The following is a 23,591-nucleotide window of genomic DNA, read 5'->3' on the forward strand; positions in this document are numbered from 1 at the left end:
CGTGGTTAGTCATCTTCTGATTTGGGCTGTTTCTCCTCACATATGGGTCCTGTCTTCTCCTTCTGTAACAGACACTATTGATTGCTACTCAAAATTTGCACTCATACTCTTTTTTTACTGGCAGTGTCTCATATTGAGAAGAGTTAGCTAGCTTGCCTTAAATAGACAGCAAAGGAAGGGTCCCTGGAGAGCCACCGACCCATGGGTCAGTGCCTCATTCCCACACAACACAAAAAGCAGCATGGGGTAATAAAATCCAGCCCACTGAGATAAAAACTTGCACAAACCTCTGGCTCACTCAGATAAGGGAACAACACCTGACATAGAAATGCCTTTTTCCTTTGTATAATCAGCAGGCTCCCAGGAAAACGTTTCTTCTCCTTTTGGGGCATGAACCCGGTGGGTTCGAGTGGGTTCCTGTGGACACTTTCATTTCTTTTTTAGACTGTTAGCCCGGCCTCTATGAATCATCACTTCAGCCCCTGATTGGTCCCAGGCCAAGATCCCTGGCCAAGCTTTCATTTCGGCTTCTGATAGGTTCCAGGCCAAGCTGAGTAGCCCCTATGAATCATCACTTCAGCTCCTGATTGGTCCTGGGACAAGCTGAATCATGCTTTCTCCCAGACAGCCGACAGACTAAGCACATTCATTCCCCTTCCCCAGTCCATAAAAACCCCCAGACCCCAGCCTTATAGTGGGCAACCCATTAAGGCCCCATCTTCACTGGCAGAGAGCTTTCTTCTTTTGCTTATTAAACTTTTGCTTCAACCTCACCCTTTCGTATGAACTTTTTAATTCTCTTTGATGTGAGACAAAGAATTCTGGGTACTATCTCAGAGAATGAGAGACTGCTACATTTTGGTGCATTGGCCGAGACTACAAAAATTAACCTTCATCCACAGGGCCATGTATTTTCACTAAGCCAATTATAGTTAATTCAGTTCCATTACCAAAGATTCATTTGGGAATTAAGCATATCATACAATTCTGGCCAGTACTGTGTGAAGGGAAGTATACTGAGAATATGTGCAATTGGGAATTCTTGGGGAAAGAATCTGAAAGTGATCCAAGGGATAAAATAGCTACTCTGCTCAAGCCTTATGTTTTGATAAAATCCTGAAAGTATGAAAAGAGCTAGCCAAGGGACAAAGCCAATGCACTATAGATGACAGAAAAAGATGTAAAATAACTTGAATCAATGACGTAATCGAATTATGTCCTTTCCCCAATATACATTTTGGCACCATTGTTGAAAATGAGTTTACTGCATATATATGGATTTCTTCTGGGTTTGCTGTTCTGTTCCATTGTCAATGTTGAAGGTTGTATGCCAGTTTTATGCTGTTTTGGTTACTATAGCTCTGTAGCATAATTTGAAGTTGGGTAATGTGGTTCCTCCATTTTTGTTCTTTTTGCTCAGGACATCTTTGGCTATTCTGTTTTGTGTGTGTGTGTGTGTATGCGTGCGTGCGCGTGTGTGTGTGTCTCCATATAAATTTTAGGATTGCTTTTCTATTTATGTGAAGAGTGTCATTAATATTTCGACAAAATTGCATTAAATCTGTAGATTACTTTGGGTCAGATGGACATTTTAATACTATTGATTTCTGCAATCAATGAACTTGGAATTTTTTTCATTTTTTGGTTTCCTTTATATTTTTATTAATGAGTAAGTAATAGCTTTCATTGTTAAAGTCTTTTATGTCTTTGATTAATTCCTAAATATATGTATAATTTTGTTGCTCTGGTAAATAGGATTGATTTTATTTTATTTTTTCAGATTGTTCACTGTTGGCATATAGAAATGCTTCTGCTTTTTGTGTGTTAATTTTGTATCTTCCAACTTCATTGAATTTGTTTTTCAGTTCTCAGTTTTCTACTGGAGTCTTTAGGTTTTTCAAAATATGATATCATATCATCTGCAAACAAGGATAATTTGACTTCTTCCATTCCAATTTTGGCTGCCCTTTATTTCTTTCTCTTGTCTGATTGCTGTAGTGAGGACTTCCAGTACTGTATTGAAATACAGTGATAAAAGTGGGTATCTTTGTTTTGTTCTAGGTCTTAGATAAAATGTTTTCAGTTTTTGTCCATTTAGTCTGATACTCGCTGTGGATCTATAATATATGACTTTTGTTGTGTTCAGGTAAGTTCCTTCTATAACAAGTTTTTAAGGTATTTAATCATTAAGGGATGTTGAATTTTTTTTTTTTTTTTTTTTTTTTTTTTTGAGACGGAGTCTAGCTCTGTCACCCAGGCTGGAGTGCAGTGGCGCGATCTCGGCTCACTGCAATCTCCTCCTCCCAGGTTCACGCCATTCTCCTGCCTCAGCCTCCCCAGCAGCTGGGACTACAGGCACACGCTGCCACGCCTGGCTAATTTTTGTATTTTTAGTAAAGACGAGGTTTCACCGTGTTAGCCAGGATGGTCTCCATCTCCTGACCTTGTGATCCGCCCGCCTCGGCCTCCCAAAGTGCTGGGATTACAGGCGTGAGCCACCGTGCCCGGCCGGGATGTTGAATCTTATCTAAGGCTTTTTCGGTATCAATTGAAATGATCTTATGATCTTTCTCCTTCATTGTGTTGATATTATGTATCACATTGTTTGTTTTGTGTATTTTGAAACACATTTGCACGATGAATGACTTTTTAAAATGTGTTGTTGAATTTGGTTTGCTAGTATTTTGTTGAGAATTGATGAAGTTCATAAGGGATATTGACTGGTAGGTATTTTTTTCTTTTTGATGTGTCTTTTTCCGGTTTTGGTATCAGGGTAATACTTGCTTTATAGAATAAGTTTGGAAGTATTCCCTCCTCTATTGTTTGAAATACTTTGAGTAGGATTGGTGTTAATTCTTCTTAATGTTTGGTATAACTCAGCGGTGAAAACATCAGGTCCTGGGCTTTTCTTTACTTGGAAGCATTTTATTGTGGCTTTGATCGCATTACTTGTTATTGATCTGTTCATGTTTTGGATTTCTTAATGGTTCAATCGTGGTAGGTTGTATGGGTATAGGAATTTATCCATTTCTTTTTGGTTTTACCATTTATTGGCATATAGCTGTTCATAGTAGCCACTAATGATTCTTTGAATTTCTGTGGTATCATTTGTAATGTCTCCTTTTTTATCTCTAATTTTATTTATATGGGTCTTGTCTTTTTTTAATCTTTTACAAAAATCAACTTTTTGGTTTTCTTGATCTTTTGTATTGTTTCTCTGTTACAATTTTATTTATTTCTGCTATGATGTTTATTGTTTCTTCTGCTAATTTAGGATTTGGTTTGCTCTTGCTTTTCTCATACTTTATGATGCATTGATAATTTTTTATTTGAAGTTTATCTTTTTTTTGATGTAAGCATTTATATCTATAAGCTTTCCTATTAGTAATGTTTTTGTTGTATCCCATAGGTTTTGGTATGTTGTGTTTTCATTATTATTTCTTTCTAAAAAGTTTCAATTTTCTTCTTAACTTGTTCATTGGCCCACTGGTCATTCAGGAGCATATTGTTTAATTTCCATGTTTTTGCGTAGTTTCCAAAATTCCTTATGTTTTTGATTTCTAGTTTTATTCCACTGTGGTCAGAGAAGATACTTGATATAATTTTAATTTTTTGAATTTTTAACATGTTTTTTGCTCTAACATATGGTCTATCTTTGAGAATGATCCATGTGCTGTGAAGAATAGTTAATTTTCAGTTGTTGGATGAAATGTTCTAAAAATAGTTATTAAAAACCATAAAAACCCTAGAAGAAAACCTAGGCAATACCATTCAGGATATAGGCATGGGCAAAGACTTCATGACTAAAACACCAAAAGCAATGGCAGCAAAAGCCAAAATAGACAAATGGGATCTAATTAAACTAAAGAGCTTCTGCACAACAAAAGAACCTATCATCGGAGTGAACAGGCAACCTACAGAATGGGAGAAAATTTTAGCAATCTACCCATCTGACAAAGGGCTAATATCCAGAATCTACAAAGAACTCAAACAAATTTACAAGAAAAAAAAGACCCCATCAAAATGGGCAAAGGATATGAACAGACACTTCTCAAAAGAAGACATTTATGCAGCCAACAGAAATATGAAAAAAGGCTCATCATCACTGGTCATCAGAGAAGTGCAAATTGAAACCACAATGAGATACCATCTCATGCCAGTTAGAATGGCAATCATTAAAAAGTCAGGAAACAACGAATGCTGGAGAGGATGTGGAGAAATAGAAACACTTTTACACTGTTGGTGGGAGTGCAAATTAGTTCAACCATTGTGGAACACAGTATGGTGATTCCTCAGGGGTCTAGAACTAGAAATACCATTTGACTCAGTGATCCCATTACTGGGTGTATACCCAAAGGATCATAAATCATGCTACTATAAAGACACATGCACACGTATGTTTATTGCGGCACTATTCACAATAGCAAAGTCTTGGAACCAACCCAAATGTCCATCAATGATAGACTGGATTAAGAAATTGTGGCACATATACACCATGGAATACTATGCAGTCATAAAAAAGGATGTGTTCATGTCCTTTGTAGGGACATGGATGAAGCTGGAAACCATCCTTCTCAGCAAACTATCACAAGGACAGAAAGCCAAACACTGCATGTTCTCACTCATAGGTGGGAGTTGAACAATGAGAACACTTGGACACAGGGCGGGTAACCTCACACACCATGGCCTGTTGGGGGGTGGGGGGCAGTGGGAGAGAAATCATTAGGAGAAATACCTAATGTAAATGAAGAGTTGATGGATGCAGCAAACCAGCATGGCACATGTATACCTATTTAACAAACCTGCATGTTCTGCACATGTACCCTGTAACTTAAAGTATAATAAAAAATAAAAATAAAAAAAGGAAAACGGTACAAGAAGCAGGTGAAAAAATAGTTATTAGGTGTTTTTTGTCTATAAAAAACTCCAAAGTTTTTTGTTGATTTTCCTTCTGGATGGTCTGTTCAATGCTGAATGTTGGGTGTTGAAGTCTTCTGCTTTTATTGTATCAGGGCCTTTCTCTCTCTTTAAGACTTGTAATATGTGATTTATACATCTGGATGCCCCAATGTTGGGTGTAAATGTATTTAAAACTGTTATATCCTCTTGCTGAATTGACTGCTTTATCAATATACAATGACCTTATTTATCTCTTCTTATAGTTTTTGTCTTTATATCTATTTTGTCTGATATATCTACTCTTGCTCTTTTTTGGTTTTCATTTGTATGAAATATGCTTTTCCACCCTCGTATTTTCAGCCTGCATGTTTCTTCATATGTGAATTGTGTTTCTTGTAGGCAAGAAATCTTTCTTTTAAAATCTGTTCTGGCTCTCTATGTCTTTTGATTGGATAATTTAATCCATTTACATTTATTGTTACTATAGATAAGCAAGGACTTACTCCTATTATTTTTGTATTTATTTTCTGGTTGTTTTGTGGTCTTCTCTTCCTTTTTTTCTCTTTTCCTGTCTTCCTTTTAATGAAAATGATTTTCTCTGGTGATATGTTTTAATTTCTTGCTTTGTATTTTTTTTTCTGTATCTAATATATGTATGTTGATTTGAGGTTACCATGAGGCTTGCAAAAAATATTTTATAAGCCATTTCCTAAACTGATGAAAATTTTACACTGATTGTATAAACAAACAAATAGGCAAAGAGAAAATTTATTAAAACTTCCACTTAAAGTTACTTTCTCCTTTTTAATATTTTTTGTTCTATTTACATTTTATTGTACTATCCATGTCTTAAAATTTTTATGGTTTTTATTTTTTATTGGTTCATCTTTTAGATTTCTACTCAAGATATGAGTAGTTTACACACCATAGTTACAGTCATAGTATTCCATCTTTTCCTGTGTAGTTATTTGATCAGTGAGTTTTGGACCTTCAGGTGATTACTTCTTGCTAATTAACATCATTTTCTTTCAGACTGAAGAACTCTCTTTAGCATTTCTTGTAGTATGAATCTGGTGTTAGTGAAATCCCTCAGCTTTTGTTTTTCTGGGAAAGTCTTTATTGTTCCTTCCTGTTTGAAGGATATTTCAGCTGGATATATACTATTCTTGGATAAAAGTTTTTTCCTTCAGCATTTTAAATGTGATATGTTAGTATCTTTTGGTATGTAAGTTTTCCACTAAGAAGTCTGCAGCCAAATGTTTTGGAATGTACTTGTATGTTATTTGTTTCTTTTCTTTCACTCCCTTTCAATATTTTTTGTAAATTTTTGAGTTTTGTGTTTTATTATTAAATGGCTTGAAGTAGTCTTATTTGGCTTAAATCTGCTTGGTGTCTAAAACCTTCTTGTAGTTAAACATTGATATGTTCTTTAAGTTTGGGAAATTCCTAGTTATTATTCCTTTTATTAAACTTTATACCCCTCTCTCTCTCTTTTTCTATCTCTCTCTCTCTGCCTCCTCTTTAAGGCCACTACATCTTAGATGTGCCCTTTGACAATATTTTCTAGATCTCGTAGTCAAGCTTCATTCTCTTTTATACTTTTTTCTTTTATCTCCTCTGTGTTTTTTTTTCAAATAGCCTATCTTCAAATTCACTAATCTTTTCTTCTGCTTATTCAGTTCTGCTATTAAAAGACTCTGATGTACTCTTCAGTATGCCAATTGCATTTTTCACCTTCAGAATTTCTGCGTTATTCTTTTTTAATTATTTCAATCTCTTTGTTAAATTTACCTGATAGAATCCTGAATTCCTTCACTGTGCTATCTTGAATTTCTTTGTGTTTCCTCTAAACAGCTGTTTTTAATTCTCTGTCTAAAAATTTACATATCTCCATCTCTGCAGGGTTGGTTTCTGATGGATTATTTAGATCATTTAATGAGGTTGTGTTTTTTTGGATGGTGTTGTTGCTAGTAGATGTTCTTCAGTGTCTGGGCATTGAAGCATTAAGTATTTGTTGCAGTCTTCGTGGCCTGGGTTTGTTTATACCCATCCTTCTTGAGAAGGCTTTTTAATTATTTGAAGGGATCTCAGTGTTGTGATTTATGTTTTTGGTCACTGTGGCCATATCTGCATTATGGGGCATCATGAACCCAGAAACACCATGATTCTTGCAGACTTGTAGAAGTACCACCTTGGTTTTCTTAGATGAGATCTGGAAGAATTATCTGGATTACCAGGCAGATAACCTTGTTCTCTTTCCTTACTTTCTCCCCACAAAAGTGAGTCTTTCTCTCCCTCTATGATGAGCTTCCTGCAGCTGTGCTGAGTTGCATGGAGCACCCCTGTGTCCACCCCCACTGGGACTGTGCTGGGTCACACCTGAAGCTAGCACAGCACTGGGTCTTGCCCATGGTCCATGGTAGCCAATACCTTGCTGTCATCTATGTTTATTCATGGCCCTAGGGCTATGCAATCAGCAGGTAGTGAAGCTAGCCATGCTTGTATCCTTCTCTTCAGGGTGGTAAGTTAACCATAGTACCAGGTGAGTCAAGAAGTGCTGTGTTAGAGACAGGGCCTGGTGTTGGCAGCATTAATCATCTACTTAGTGCTTTATTCTACTGTGGCTGAGCTAGCATCCAAACCACAAGCCAAAGTCCTTCCCCTTTTTTCTTCCACTTTTCACAAGCAGAGGAATCTCTTCCAGTGGCTAACTCCACCACAGGCACAAGGCAATTACTACCTGACTACTGCTAATATTCTTTCATGAAGCAAGTACTCTTCAATCTACTTGTGGTAAATGTTCCCAGGCTGTGGACTTTCCCTTGAGGGCAGTGACCTTTCCTCTTGCCCAGGGCATGTCCAGAAATGCCATCCAAGAGCCAAGGCCTGGATTCAGTTACCCTAAGTTCTTGCTTGGTGCTTCCCCACTGTGGCCGAACTAGTACCTAGGCTTAGAGACGAAGCCCCTTTTACTCTTCCTTCTCCTTTTCTCAAGCAGGAGTCTCCCTGTAGGCACTACAGCTGGAAATGTGCAGGGTGACAACTGAAGCCAGCATATCTCTGAGTCTCACCCAGTTCCCATGGCAAGAACTGCTTGGCTACATTGCTACTACTTAGGGTCCAGTGACTCTTTAGTGAGCCATTGTTGAATCCTGCTAGGACTGGTTCTGTTCTTCAGGTTAGTGGGTTCCTCTCTGGCCCACGCCATTTCTAGAAATGCTTTCTTGGTGTTAAGGCCTGGAATGGGGCCCTCAGGACTCTGCCAGGTGCCTTATTCTACTGTGGCTATGCTGGCATTCAAGTTGCAAGACAAAGTCCTCTTTATTCTTCCCTCTCCTGTCCTCAAACAGAAGGAAGGAATCTTTCCTGGAGCTGTGAGCTGCACTGGTGTTGAGGGAAAGGTGACAAAATCACTCTTCTGGTCACCCTGACTAGTGTCTCACTGGGTTGCATGCCCCACAAGTCCACTGGCTCTGAGACCAACACCACCCCTGTAGTTGCCCAGGAATTGCAATTCTTGTGGCCTAAACTACTTTTCAAGTTTGTTCAGGACCCCATAGCACTTTCGCCTGAGGTGGCAAGGCTTGCCAGAACTCAGGTTCCAACCACTGGGCTGGGTGATTCTTTTTTGATTAGGGTTGGTCTAAATTTTCCCTCCATGGCTGCGCACTGAGTTCTGCCTGATTCTTTTTTCCACTGTGACAAGGCAAAACTGAGTTCCAATGCAATATCTCACAATCACTGATCTCTTCCTCCCTGAAGTGTACATATTCTCTCTCCATGCCACATGGCCACTGCTAGGGGATGTTGGATGGGTGACATCAGCAATTCAAGACTGTATTTTCTACCCTCTTCAGTGCCTCTTTCACCAATACGTGGCTGAAACCAGGTACTGTGATCACTTACCTAACATTTGCTTTTAAGAAGGTGCTTTTTTGTGTGGATGGTAGTTCAATTTGGTGTTCTTGTGAGGAGGATGTTCAGAGGAGGCTTCTATTTAACCATCTTGCTCAGCCTCCTCCAATTTTAACAAATTTTTATTTTTACCAAAGTATTACATGCTTGTAGTTTTAAAACATAATTTATACAGAAATGTTTATGATAAAAACCTGGAACAAATCCTCATATGTCTCAGTTATGCCTTCTACTGTATCTTATGGGATTAACTTTTACATTTATAAATGATATACTTTTCAAATATTTTAATTTCTCCATTATAGATATTACATGTTTTTTCATTTAAGATCATGAAGGCTTAGTACTGTTAAATTATTTCACCCTCTTTCTACCCTTTCTGTTCTACCCATTCTCCCAGTACATCACCTCTTTCTGTCATGTCATCATTCAATGTTTATATTTTATGCATATTTTAAAATAATTCACTCACTGCTGATCCAGACATTGTGCTATGATTTTAACTTTGTTGGAGCAACCTAAAAATATCACTGGATTTAAATATTGTCTTTTTTATTGCTAAATCATCTGCATACCTATCAGTTCTACTAAAATGCTTCAACAAAAATTTAAAGTTCCTGCCATGCCTAAAAAATAATCAATTTCATTACTTAATTTACCAATTTCATCTTTTTTTTTCTGAATACCTACCTTCCGAAGTCCTCTGTGTCTCTGTTCCAGTCTGAACTGTTTGCTATCTAAGACTCCTGCTTAGCTCTTGTACAGGAACCTCTATTTACCCTTGACTTGAAAATCATCTTTACTGCCCTAAAGGAACTACGCAGTTTGTGACAGCCAAATCTTTTGAAAATTGCTTTTCCGTTTTGATAGTTTCCCAAAGTTGCCTTTTACATTTAGAATTCAAACAAATTTTAGTTTCCCGTTTTTACCAGAGTATAGTCATGTGACTAGTTTCCACTGAGAAGGCACAGCTGAGTGATATTTGGAATGTGGAAGTAAACAGCTGAGGTTGTGTGGCTCTACTTACAGGCAGGGGCACCACAACCATCAACATTTTGCTAGATTTGGCAGCATGGGCCAACCTAGCAGTGACAAATAGTGGGAAAATGTCATTTCAATCTATTTCCATTATTTCCCATGGTAAATATTTCATGCTTTTTGAGACTCTTTATTTCTATTAAATTATGCTCCTACAGCATCTTGTCACACTCACATTTATGTATTTGTTACCATTCAAATTAAACATCACTTCTGTCCCTCTTCGTCCTGTTTTAAAATGTTCTTTATTGAGCAGTATCTGTAGTCTCCCGATGTAGAAATCTTTCAGAAGGGCTATACTTTGTTGACTGGAAAAGTAAAAGTTACACATCCTCGAAACGGTCATTTTATGTCATGGCTTTTGCATTCTACTTAATATATAACTTGCTTCAGAAATATTACTTCCATTTAGGAGAGTTACCCTTCATCTGTTTCTACATTGCTCTCTTCATGGTTTGCATTTCCTTTATCCCAAAATACTCAACTTTTTTTCTGGTTATTCCCAAGGAATTTTTGTCCAAGTAACAAATTTAGAAACACTTGTGTTGAACTGCTCTGGACATGTATGGTTATTGTTTACTTATTCTGTAAATTATTCAAGGAGTAAGAAGGAAGAAAAATAATAATCTGTAACAAACCATCCTAAATAAAATAATTCATAGAGAAATAGGTCAAAGATAGTTTGTTTCAGAAAGGTACTCAATTCTACCTACGCTATTCCTCAAACATACAATATATCTCGATTTGAAAGACCTTAGTTAAAGCTAAAACTCTGTCTCACTAAAGACAAGCATATTATTATCTTTAGAGAAATCTTTTGCAGTTATAATTATGAGGGTCTCTGACCCTTCACATAAGAGTATACTTTGTATATAAAGTGACAGCCTAGTTTGGCTAGAGTAAGTCTCTGTGTAAGCTAATTATATGTGATAATTTTGCCTGAAAGGAGACTGGCTTGAAAGTGAATCCAATTTAACGGTGAGGAGATTGTTATAAGAAACATTTCATTGTGGGCTTGGAAGCCACTTAAAGTGCTAATTTTTCACTTGAATAACTGTATTGCTATAGTGAAGGTTTTTCAAATTACTTAATATTTGTGAGATATTATTTGAACTAACGAAAAATAAAGGCAAATAGTGAAGATTTTTTATTTTATAGGAACAATTTAGGATTCTATTATTCATTCGCATTAAAATCAGCCCCTATTTCCCTCTTCCCACTTGTCCTTAAGATATGGTGGACCACCTTGCTCCATTGAAAAACAAAGTTAATTCCTGAATTATACATTTAAATAAGAAGTGGCAAATTTTGTCCAGTTTATCAGTCTTTCTGACTTCTGTTTTTAAAGAGTATAATCTCCTCTCTCAGGCATTTTTATAATTATATATCAGAAAATAATTACATGCAGCTAGCAGCCTTTGTGTGGTTAGTTGAAATATGGCAGCTACAAGAAGAAAAGGAAGAAAAAATGGTTTACGAGGAACCTAAAATATGGCTTTAAGCACTGTTATCTGGCTGTGGATAGCTAGGCAAAGGAGCCCTTTGGAGCACAGTAATCAAGACCAGGGCCTTTTTCCAGCAAACACTTCCAAGTCAAATCCAGTACAAAAGCCTGCAAATGAAACCTACAGGCTCACATTATACTTTACATAATGTTGGGGTTTGTACAGTTTACAAAGTTTGTGAATCACTGGTCAGCTTCAAACCTGAGCAGAATATTTCATCTTGTGTGAAAATCATCAAGTACACAGCCTGCTCTAAAATTCTTTTTACTTTCAACTTACCTCACTTCTCAAAATCACCATCATAAATTAGGCCATTATGTTAAATTTTAAAGCTTCCAGAATGTCCATGTAAAATTGCAAATATGTTTTGGGAAATTATAGTGAGTGCCGTAGCAAATTGCCCAGGTCTCCCCTTCAGGAAGAGGCAGTTTGGACTCTGGCTGTATGGAGTGTTTGTGACTAATGAATCTCGCCTGAATTCCATTCTGCAAATTGCCCTCTAACAAAAGATAGCTGTCTTACTGAAATTCATATCACCTTCCTGGGGTCACCCAATATGCAATGACTGGTCAATAATGAAGCATAAAGGCGCAGACCTCTTGCCTTAAGGCAGGAGAACTCTGAAGAGCCATTGCATTCCATAGATCCCCATAGGATTAGCTGAGACCTCAGTTGCAACTTCCCAGCAGTCCTATTTCTCCCTCTGCCCAATCCTGCTTCCCTCCCTCCCCATGAGTATTGTTATCCAGTAAACCTCCTGCATGCAGCTCTGAGAGTCTCAGAATCTGGTTTTTGAGGAACACAACATACTACAGTTGGCAGTAGGAAGCTTCCTGGGAACAAATTCTAAAATGTGATGGATAACTGTTAGCAGATGAATAACTGACAGCCCCCCGGCTTGTGACTTTTGTATAATACTTAGCATTTTCATTAATAATGAACTTGGATAAAAGACTGAAGGAAGTGAATGCCCTGAAAGGTATATGTCAGGCAATTGAATGTTTTGTTTTTGGGGGGGCGGGATATAATGAGAGAGACTAATTCTAAGAACTTTTGAACCTGACGGCTGTGTTAGGGATAATTTATGCACTGGAAAAAGACAATGAAAGGCTGAGAGTGATTAATAAGCAATATAATTTGAATATGAAAGCCAGAAGGTTTCTTTGGCAGCATATAAAGATACTATCATCTCCTGAAGTTGGAGGATAGAAAATGGTGATAATCAGACCCTGTACTTAATTATAGGAGTATCAGCACTCCAGAGAAGGTTGAATTCTCATCCATGGCAAATCTGAAATGCCAAAGTCAGGGCCCTGATTGGAAAAGGCTGTGATTTCAGGACTTGGGATGGAGACATCTGCATTCATGCACTTGAAAATTCAATCTCTATGTTACCTTTAACCCTCTAGATCTACAAAAATAGCCCAGTCTTCCACTTAGAAGGCTATTTTGCCACCTTGCTTAAAGGCAACATAGAGAACTCTCCTTTCAAAAGCAATATCTGCCCCCTGTGGATCTACATTCATACTTCATGGCTAACAAATCAATAATTACACTCATGTTACAATATAAACCAGTCAAAGAAGTGCCGAGTCTTCTAAAGAAGAAAAGGAGCTATACACCAAAATTGCTGCAAGATCTAGCCAACATGTACCAGAAGGAACTCAGAATGTATATACATATATCATATCTGAGTCTGGATCCCATCGATGCTGTTTCAAACAACACAGAATATAAATTTAGATGAGGAAAATTAGTATAAGAACACTCACCTGGAATACAGAATTTAATACCTTAGAAAAGACTATTGGAGATAGTGTTAATACACTGCTAAGTTGTCTCTTGTAGGCTTGGAAAAAAGTAGTGGTTCTCACAAAGTGAAGTAGGAATGCCAGGACCTAACCTGGGATGGATGAAAAGAATCAAAGGCTCAGAGATGTGCAATCAAAAAGAAAATTGCCCAATGTACACAACAAAAAATAATCAACCATGGATGATTGTGAGCCTCAGGGAAGCAGTCTCAATAAAGTCGTGACCCCATGCCTAGTTTTGGAAAGAGCCAGTTCTTGGGCCCAAACCCATTGACTAAAGAGGATGCCAGGTATTCATGAGGAACAACTCTGAGACAGCATAGCAAGTGCTTGTTGTATTGATTCTCTAGTCCTTATACAAAGGGTCCTATGACCGTTGGCTTGTGTAGTTGTATATTGGGATAAGTGAAATATCAAACAATTCTAGGACCATTGGATTCAGGATATGAGTTGACATTTGTACTCGAGGATACAAGTATCATCATAGATTGCTGTTTAGAGTGAGGGATAGATAGAGGCCAGGTAATGATGAATTTCTATTTCATGTCTGGATCATAGTAAGTCTACTGGGTCCACATACTCACTTGGTGGTCATTTTTTGATCTTTAAATTTATTATTACAATGGACAAACATTGGAATTGTCAGAACCCTGACATTTGTTCCTTGGCTTGTGAAGTAAGGGCTAACATAGTTCTGATACAATATACTTTTACTGTTCTTAAGTTCCAGAAACATTTTGAGAACTTAATTACATAGAAAATGGACAATGAAAATGGAAATGGTAAGCATCATGGGCTAATGTTTTGTGTTAGAACAAGTGATTATCCTCTATATCCTTAATTCTAAGTTTAAAGATATGCCAAACCTATCCATGTCTTTTTAAACAAATTCATAACACACTAGGTATTACTTATCCAAGAACATATTTGTTAATTCTTTCTTTCACTGAACTAACTATTTACTGAGAACTCTTAGGTAGTGTGTTAGATGTTAGAAAAAATGGAGAATAAAAACATATCTAAACCCTTCTTTGGTTTGATTAGTTTGATTATAATTCCAGATAATATTGCATTTCTGGGTAAATTTATTTAAGTAACTCCTTCAAGCTTTAAAAGGGAACTTAAACATTTGGTACTCAGACTTTACAGGATCAAAAGAAGCTCACTGTATCCAAATATAATTTTAAAAAATTCCTTTCTGTAAATTATAAGAAAAAAAATTTGTTGTCATATTGTTGCAATAAAAGTCACATTAACTGTGTGTAAATATGTTGCTTTGCCTCTGCCTCTTCTGGAAATAGTGATCTGATAAGATGAAATTGATGAGTGGTCAGAAGGGGGCAAAAAAATCTACTTTTGGATTTACGAGGAAAATCATTTCACAAAATGATTAATTACAAACTAAAAACATTTGCAGAATAAAAACACAGCTGCTTCATTAGAATCAGCAACAATGTGTGCATTTATTTCCATGCAATCCTTCTCCTGTCCTATTCACAGTTAGTGGAATATCTCATTTGACTTTTATTATACAATTTACATGACCTTCTTTTACTAAGATCTTCTCATATGACAGAGTGAAACAATTTACAATTAGTAAGCATTAGAGTTATATAATTTGGTCATTTAACATGAAAAATATTTAAGTAGTTAGTATTTATATTATAAAATTGTTAATAACATTTAGTATATAGATTTATTTATATGTAATATATACCATATATTAAACTGTGCATTGGTAAATGAAGTCATCACTATTAGATGACTCCATTCTCATTTGCAGTCATAAAACTGAGTCATTTCAAGTAATTTTTCATCTAATTGAATGAAGGCTTCCCTATGTGTATTTAGCATTTAATGTCTAAGTGTGGTTCCCTTGTCTTAGAAACTGAAACATAGAGAGACATATCTTTCTTTGTTCTCAAAGAAAGCACAACCCATGCTAATTTAATTAAAGTAACAATATTTTTCTTATTAAATACTCACATACGACTGACAAAGACACATTTGTTTATGCACTTCCAAGCAGATCTAGCCACTTCTTCCTCAATGCCACCATGACAGATTCTCTGTTGGCATATTCTTCATGCACTTTCATAATTTCTGCTTGTTGCTGTTTCTCCCATGGGACTGTAAGCTTTTTTTGCAAGGGTAGAGTTCTCATAGTAGTCATCTTTGGTTCATTAGTATCTAGAATAAGAATTTCTCATTTTTAATTTAGTATTCCTTTACTGAATAAAATTTCATTCTAGATTTTAAACTGCCTTTCTATAAGCCACGTGATCGTTGCTTCAAAATTCTTACTAGCTTTTCAGTATAACCTATGCTTTGGGTAGAAAAGAACATTCTTAAAAAGAAATTTTACTACAGTTATAACAAATGAAAAGTACTCTGTAGGGAAAATAATTGATTTTGAACAAACATCAATTGAGAGCCCATTATGTTATTACATACCAACTTCTGTGCTAACTTTTCTGAATACAAAGCAAAATTTCATTCAGTTCTTGTCTTCAAGTAGTTCATGGTCTAGTGAGGAAACACAGAAGTAAGAAGAGAATAATGAAATTTATTTATTTGTTTTTATTATTGTTATTATTATTATTATTATTATTATTATTTTTTGCGACAGCGTCTCACTCTGTCTCCCAGGCTGGAGCACAGTGGCACAATCTTGGCTCACTGCAACCTCTGTCTTCCAGGTTCAAGCAATTCTCCTGCCTCAGCCTCCTGAGTAGCTGGGACTACAGGCATGTGCCACCATGCCCGGCTAATTTTTTTGTATTTTTAGTAGAGATGGGGTTTCACCATGTTGCTCAGGCTGGTCTTGAACTCCTGACCTCAAATGATCCGCCAGCCTCGGCCTCCCAAAGTGCTGGGATCACAGGCGTAAGCCACTGCACCTGGCCTGAAATTTATAATAAGAGATATGTTTGGTATTCGATAGTACCACAAATGTGTCTACAACTTAACTACTGTTCATACTTATTCTTAAATTACTTTGCATTATGTCATGATTTTTATGAGACTGCTGTTTTGCCAAATACATGTTATATTCAGTGAGGTTAAGGATTACATTATATACCGATAGTCCCCTACCTGTGCTAGTAGAGCCTAGTGTACAGAGCAAGTAAGTTGTGGGGCCTTTGATGTAGTAGCAATGTAGTGGACTTAGAAAGAGAAGATTAGAGTGCAAGTCCAACTCTACTTTCTTCAACTGGTTATATATTACTTTGATCATATTATGAGCATAATTTCTTAAAATGATGAAAAAAACAGGTTTCTTTCCAGGTCTTTATGGGCGCTAAATAAATATTTGGAAGTAGATAGTGGTTACTTATAAATACCCTTCTTTTAATAAGTATTAATTAAACACAATTAAGCTATGAACTTAGAAAAAAAACACAAAACAGCTAAAGTTACTTAAAATATGGTTGGCCATGGTTTTGACTGTCAAGAGTCAAAAAGTTTTGTCTTAGGATCATCTTCTCTAAACATTATACTATTTATTTTTCTCCTTTAGTCATCCAGTGTTTGTCTTCTCCTCATTGCTAGGTGAATACTTACTGTAGTTAGAAGAATTCTGAGATGACCCTTAACATTCCTGCCCTCTGGTAGACATGCCATGTATAATCCCCTTTCTTTGAGTTATAAAGGACTGGAAATATGATGGATTTTACTCGTGATTAAATCATGTTATATAATAAATGTGAAAGGATTTTGCTGATATAATTAATTCACCTAGTTAGTTGACTTTTTCATTAATCAAAAGGAAGAAAGGAAGATTTTCCTGATTGGCCCTGCCTCAATGAGATGAGGCTATAAAAGGGACTGTGCCCTTCTTGAAAGTAGATTTGAAGCATATGAGACTTTTTTTTTTTTTTTTTGCTGGCCTTGAGGAAATAAACCTCTGTTGTAGTCTGCTCCTTAGCTCAGCTAGGCCTGAGTTCTTGCCTTACAATCAGGAAGAATTAGGCACACGGACACAGGAGAGTGAGTGGAGAATAATTTATTAAGTGAAAGGAAAATTCTCAGCAAAGAGAGGATGTGGGGTTGGTCACCCTACCCAAAGTCAAGAAAGTTCTCCTATGAGGCTGAGTTTGGAGACTTTTATGGACTCAGAATGAGGAGTGTGTGCTGATGGGTTTGTGAATATGCAAAAAAGTTTAAAGCGAAGAAAACACTCAAAGGTGGGCACGGCAGAGTAGAAAATCAAGTAGGAAAGGGTAGGTATATGTAAAGTAGATGAAGGGTGGGGACCAATCAGAGGAAAGCATGCCAAACAAGAAGATAAGTTCTCAATCTGGTCAAAGGATTTAACTTGTAACTTGGCTTTCAGGCTTTAAACTGTCTTCAGCTTGGAGGTGGGGTTTCACCAGGGACTTGCCCCTATCTGCCTAGGCATGTAGCTGCCTCCTGCCACTCTCACTGATGTGTTGTGAAGACATCCATGTGGCAGAGAATGGCTGTGACTTTAAAGGATATAACAATGACCCCACTCCAGCTGACAACCAGAAAGAAAATTAGAATTTTAGTCTTAAAATCCCAAGGAACTAAATTCGTATAAAAGCCATGTGAGTTTGGAAGAGTACCTCAAGCTTCAGATGGGATTGCAGCCCTTTGCCAACATCTTGATTTAAGCCTGATGAGTCTATATGCAGAGCTAACCCAACTAATTCAGAATTCTGACTTATGGGAACTGTAAGATAATACATTTATATTGTTTTAAGCCAGGAAATTTGTGGTAATGTGTTATGCAACAGAAATGAATACATTTACTTAATCTGATGAGACTCCGATTTAGGATACTCATTAGTGATGATAGTTTTGTGTCACTCCTCCTAAGTAATGTATCTTAAGACAAGAAAAACAGAAAAGTGGGAATAACAGTTGGTAGAAAAGGTTTAAGGAGGCAACCTGTCAACACTTCTCATTATCTGGGAAATTGGAATACCAGATATTTCAATCCTCGAGGCTGAAAGAGTTTTTGTTTGTTTGTTTGAATTAGCATAGGTATCAAAGGTAGAAGAGAGATTTAACAGTTTGCAAAGAAACATAAAAATAGGGAAGACAGCTTGATACAGTGGACTGAGGGGCAGGAGATACAGGCGAGAGCCATGATATTATCTTTAACTTGCCATTAACTTGAGAAGATCTGTGAGATTCAGCCTTTTTCCTGGTAAATGCAAAGGATGGGACTACATGGTTTCTATATATTTTTCTGACAGAAAATGCTGTGAAACTTATGAATAATGAAATCTGCAGTAGGAGAAATTTGATTTAATTACAAAGAAAGTTTTTCAGAGCATAGGAGGTTGAGAAAGTTTGAGGGATGTTACATAGTGATAAATTGTACTGGAAGAGTAATATAGTTGAGATATGTAACAGGTATAATACACTTATATGTGTAATATAAAACCTTTATACATATAATTATATATATGTTACATATGCATGGGTAATATAACATAATATTAATTATAGTAATACCAAAAAAGATTTTATGTACCACAGAATTTCAGAGTAGGAAGCACTTAGAACCAACTCTCTCAGTTCTTTACCTATAAATTTTAATTATCTCAAATATATAAGCCCTGAAATTCCGTGATGTATAATATCTTTTTTAATTGAAACACAAGACTATCTGATTCAGCAGAGAATTCTCACAGCAGTGAATGTCCTACATCTTCCCCAAAGTGCCTTATAATCTGCTCTACCCTAGGAGATGTTTGTCCTCCTCTTACCAGCTGCTATTTTCTAATCTTCTGATATTTAAAGAGTGAATAAAAAATCTAGGGGCAGTTTATTTACGAAAATAAGCTAGTCCTTGTTACAGCAAAATGAGAACAAAATGATTATTTTCACCAGAAATAAAACACAATGAGACTTGAAACTAGGAACAATATTTAGTTTTGTTCAATAACACCTAATTACTGAGGTTTTGTTGACAGAATATAAATACACTTGACAGAATCATACATTAATTTTTTATACTCCATCCACTCTAATTTTAAGAGATAGTTATCTTAATTATAATTAACATACTAAAAGTACATTTAAAATGACATTATGCTAGAAACAAATCTGTGAAAGCAAATAAATTCAAGAATGAAGCTAATGTTTTATTCTTTAACTATATTGTTAAAGCTTAACTAATGGAGGCATTAGAACTGGTCATCTCCAATTAGGTCAGAAAGTCTTTTTCCCAAAACAGGAAAAGAAGTAAATGGTGGAATGCCATCTGTTATCCTCATACATAAAATAAAACAAGTGAACTATTCAAAGTTACTTTAAAGTATAGTATTCTAGTGAATAATCTGGGTTTCAATTATGGTAGGGCAGTTTGAAAAGTAATACACAGTTCAAAAAAGGTTATATGCTGAAAATATTACAAGTTTTTCCAAAGTCTGATCCTAGAAAATAATTATGAAATAAACCAAGTTGTCCACTCTGATTGCTTTTATCCTCCTTCTCCCTTTCTCCCTCCAGTATTCTATCCAAGTTTCTCTAATTGCTCTGTGGTTTTTATAAACAACTACTTGTCAATTTTAATAAAAAAACATAAGTTTTATTTTAATTTTAAATAGTCAAAATAAATTTAATTCATTCTTAGTCATATGAATTTGGTGAACGTAGAATAAATATGCATGTGTATATGTGCATATGTGCATAAGAAAGACCATTGCTTGGTGGATGGCACTCTTGGTTTAAACAGTTTTAATTGATCCTTGGACAGAGGATTTGCAAATTTAGGAAACTAGGTAATTTAGAAAACTTCATGGTTTCTTAGACTATCTGCAAGGACAGGATGTGTGATGGACTAACAATTTGTTTCTGGCTAATCAAAACTGACAGTAGTGATTTGCACCCTCAGGGCTGGAAGTGTGTTAATTATAACTTAAGTGTGTTCACCTTGAGTGTAAAGTGTTTGTATATTAGGCAAAATTTTACAAGGGAAGACATATCTTGTAAACAACATTTCTGAATTTTATAATTTTGAAAACATATTAATAAGAATAATATATTAATTGCAATATAACCATTTAATAAGATTTTTTTCTGAAGAAAAGTACAAATAAGATTAAATATACTTGGGTCTGGAAAGAGAACAGTATGTAACAGAATAGGAATTCATTTCTGAGTAAAAAATAATTTATTTAGAATGTATGCAGAATTTTGTTTCAGACAAGATGTTCCATTGAATTGAGTTTTTATATAAAATTTATTTGAAATATAATATAACACAATCAGGGAAATATCAGTCATAGTGTAAGTTATTATTAAATTTTCAAGTGTTATTATTTAAAAAATAGAGTTAAAAATCCAATGCCATTATAAATAGAAAATAACTGCAAAGTGAAAATGGAACAAGTTACTGAATAATGCATCAGTTAAAGAGGTTTTCGATGGAATGTTCACTGCCCATAAAGAGTGCAGACTGTATAAATAAATAAACTCCTAGGTGTGATTGTTCCCTTTACTTAGTGGCATGAAAAGTGAACGCACCCTGACTCACCCTGGTGAAAGGGTATGAAAGCAGTAAGGCATGTCTCTTCAGAAAAAAATCACATAGGGAGTGCAAATATTTCAGATGAGCAGGGATATTTTTGACCGGTTTTCAGTATCTTTGTCAAATATCCAAAAAAGGGTATTTAGTAGCATAAGTATTACAAGGATAGAAATTAACAAAAGCAAGTGTCATTTACTTCCAAACTTTATTTCTAGTTTGGGGTAATTTGGCATAATGAACTTCAATCATTTAGGTAAGCTTTCCCATCTCATATATATAGCATGTTTACCCAACTGCTATTAAGATGTTGTAAGCATATTTACAGTTACATGCTCTCTGGAGCACAATTAGCCACCGGTAATCTGCAATTAAAATGAGAAAATTTTCTTCAGTGTCCCTGATATGGTTTATTTTTATTTATTTTTAAACTAAAATTATTTTAAATTGACAAATCATAGTTGTATACATTCATAGGTATGATGTGATGTTTTCATATATGTATGTAATGTGAAATGATTAAATCAAGCTAAATAACATATCCAATGCCTCACTTACTTATTTTTTGTGGTGAGGCATTTGAGATTTACTCCTTGTTTTGAAATATACATTTTTATTGACAATAGTTGCTCTGTTGTGCAATACATCTCAAAACTTATTCCTCCGGTATAACTGAAACTTTATACCCTTTGGCCTACAATCCCCCAATTTATTCCCTCACCCTAGCCTCTGGTAACCACCATCCTACTCTCCACTCTTATGAGTTCAACTTTTTTAGATTTCACATATAAATGAGAGAACATGGTATTTGTCTTTCATTTCATATTCATATTTTCTTTATCCACTCATTGGTTGATGAGCATTTAGGCTAATTTCATATTTTTCATATTTTGCAATTGTGAATTTTGCTGCTATAAACATGCACGTGCAAGTGTCTTTTTCATATAATGACTTCTTTTCCTCTGGATAGATACCCAGTAATGGGATTGCTGGATCAAATGGTAGTTCTACTTTTAGCTCCTTGTGGGGAAAAGCAAGAGAGATCAGATTGTTACTGTGTCTGTGTAGAAAGAAGTAGACATAGGAGACTCCATTTTGTTATGTACTAAGAAAAATTCTTCTGCCTTGAGATTCTGTTAATCTATAACCTTACCCCCAACCCTGTGCTCTCTGAAACATGTGCTCTGTCAACTCAGAGTTAAATGGATTAAGGGCGGTGCAAGATGTGCTTTGTTAAACAGATGCTTGAAGGCAGCATGCTCCTTAAGAGTCATCACCACTCCCTAATCTCAAGTACCCAGGGACACAAAAACTGCGGAAGGCCGCAGGGACCTCTGCCTAGGAAAGCCAGGTATTGTCCAAGGTTTCTCCCCATGTGATAGTCTGAAATATGGCCTCGTGGGAAGGGAAAGACCTGACCGTCCCCCAGCCCGACACCCGTAAAGGGTCTGTGCTGAGGAGGATTAGTAAAAGAGGAAGGAACGCCTCTTGCAGTTGAGACAAGAGGAAGGCATCTGTCTCCTGCCTGTCCCTGGGCAATGGAATGTCTCGGTATAAAACCCGATTGTATGCTCCATCTACTGAGATAGGGAAAAACCGCCTTAGGGCTGGAGGTGGGACCTGCGGGCAGCAATACTGCTTTGTAAAGCATTGAGATGTTTATGTGTATGCATATCTAAAAGCACAGCACTTAATCCTTTACATTGTCTATGATGCAAAGACCTTTGTTCACGTGTTTGTCTGCTGACCCTCTCCCCACAATTGTCTTGTGACCCTGACACATCCCCCTCTTTGAGAAACACCCACAGATGATCAATAAATACTAAGGGAACTCAGAGGCTGGCGGGATCCTCCATATGCTGAACGCTGGTTCCCCGGGTCCCCTTATTTCTTTCTCTATACTTTGTCTCTGTGTCTTTTTCTTTTCCAAATCTCTCGTCCCACCTTACGAGAAACACCCACAGGTGTGTAGGGGCAACCCACCCCTACAGCTCCTTAAGGATTTTCCATATTGTTTTTTATGGTGATTCCACTAGTTTACATTACCACCAGCAGTGTAAAAGTGTTCCCTTTCACCACACCCACACCAACATCTATAATTTTTTGATTTTTTAAATTATGGACATTATTGCAAGAGTAAGGTGTTATCACATTGTGGTTTTGATTTGCATTTCCTGGATAATTAGTGATGTCGAGCATTTATTCATATGTTTGCTGGATATTTGTATATCTTCTTTTGAGAATTGTCTATTCATGTTCCTAGCCCACTTTTCTATGGAATTATTATTTTTTTTCCTTGCTAATTTGTTTGTGTTCCTTGTGGATTCTAGATGTTAGTCTTTTGTCCAATACATAGTTTGCAAAGATTTTTCTCCCACTCTGTGGGTTGTCTGTTTACTCTGCTGATTATTTCTTTTGCTGTACAGAAGCTGTTTAGTTTAAACTTATGCCTAGTGTTCTATTATTAGAACGTTAAACATCTGGGAGTTATTTATATTCTACTGATCAAGTTCATCGCCAAGGTCTGATAGCAAAAATTCAAAAAATTGCAACCTCAGGCATAAATGGATTAATAACATCCCATCTATTTATCTTTGTTTTTGTTGCATTTGCTTTTGCGTTCTTGGTCATGAACTCTTTGCCTAGGCCAATGTCTAGAAGAGTTTCTCCAATGTTATCTTCTAGAATTGTTATGGTCAGGTCTTAGATTTAAGTCTTTGTTCCATCTTGATTTGATTTTTGTATGAGGTGAGAGATGAGGATGCAGTTTCAGTTCTTCTACATGTGGCATGCCAATTATCCCAGCAATATTTGTTGAAGAGTTTGTCCTTTCCATGCTTTATGTTTTTGTTTGCTTCATTGATGATCAGCTGGATACAAGTATTTGGCCTTATTTCTGGGTTCTCTATTCTGTTCCAT

The 23,591-nt window shown here is 36.2% G+C and overlaps 1 annotated feature.

The window, feature by feature from the left end:
- Positions 21,490-22,448: an enhancer, noted in NCBI's record as "OCT4-NANOG-H3K27ac hESC enhancer chrX:124913288-124914246 (GRCh37/hg19 assembly coordinates)". NCBI's record gives its function as "activates a minimal SCP1, AML or CMV promoter by ChIP-STARR-seq in naive H9 embryonic stem cells {active_cell/tissue: H9 hESC(naive)}" and the evidence as "EXISTENCE:reporter gene assay evidence [ECO:0000049][PMID:30033119]".

Source organism: Homo sapiens, chromosome X (assembly GCF_000001405.40).
Source record: "Homo sapiens chromosome X, GRCh38.p14 Primary Assembly".
NCBI lineage: Eukaryota > Metazoa > Chordata > Mammalia > Primates > Hominidae > Homo > Homo sapiens.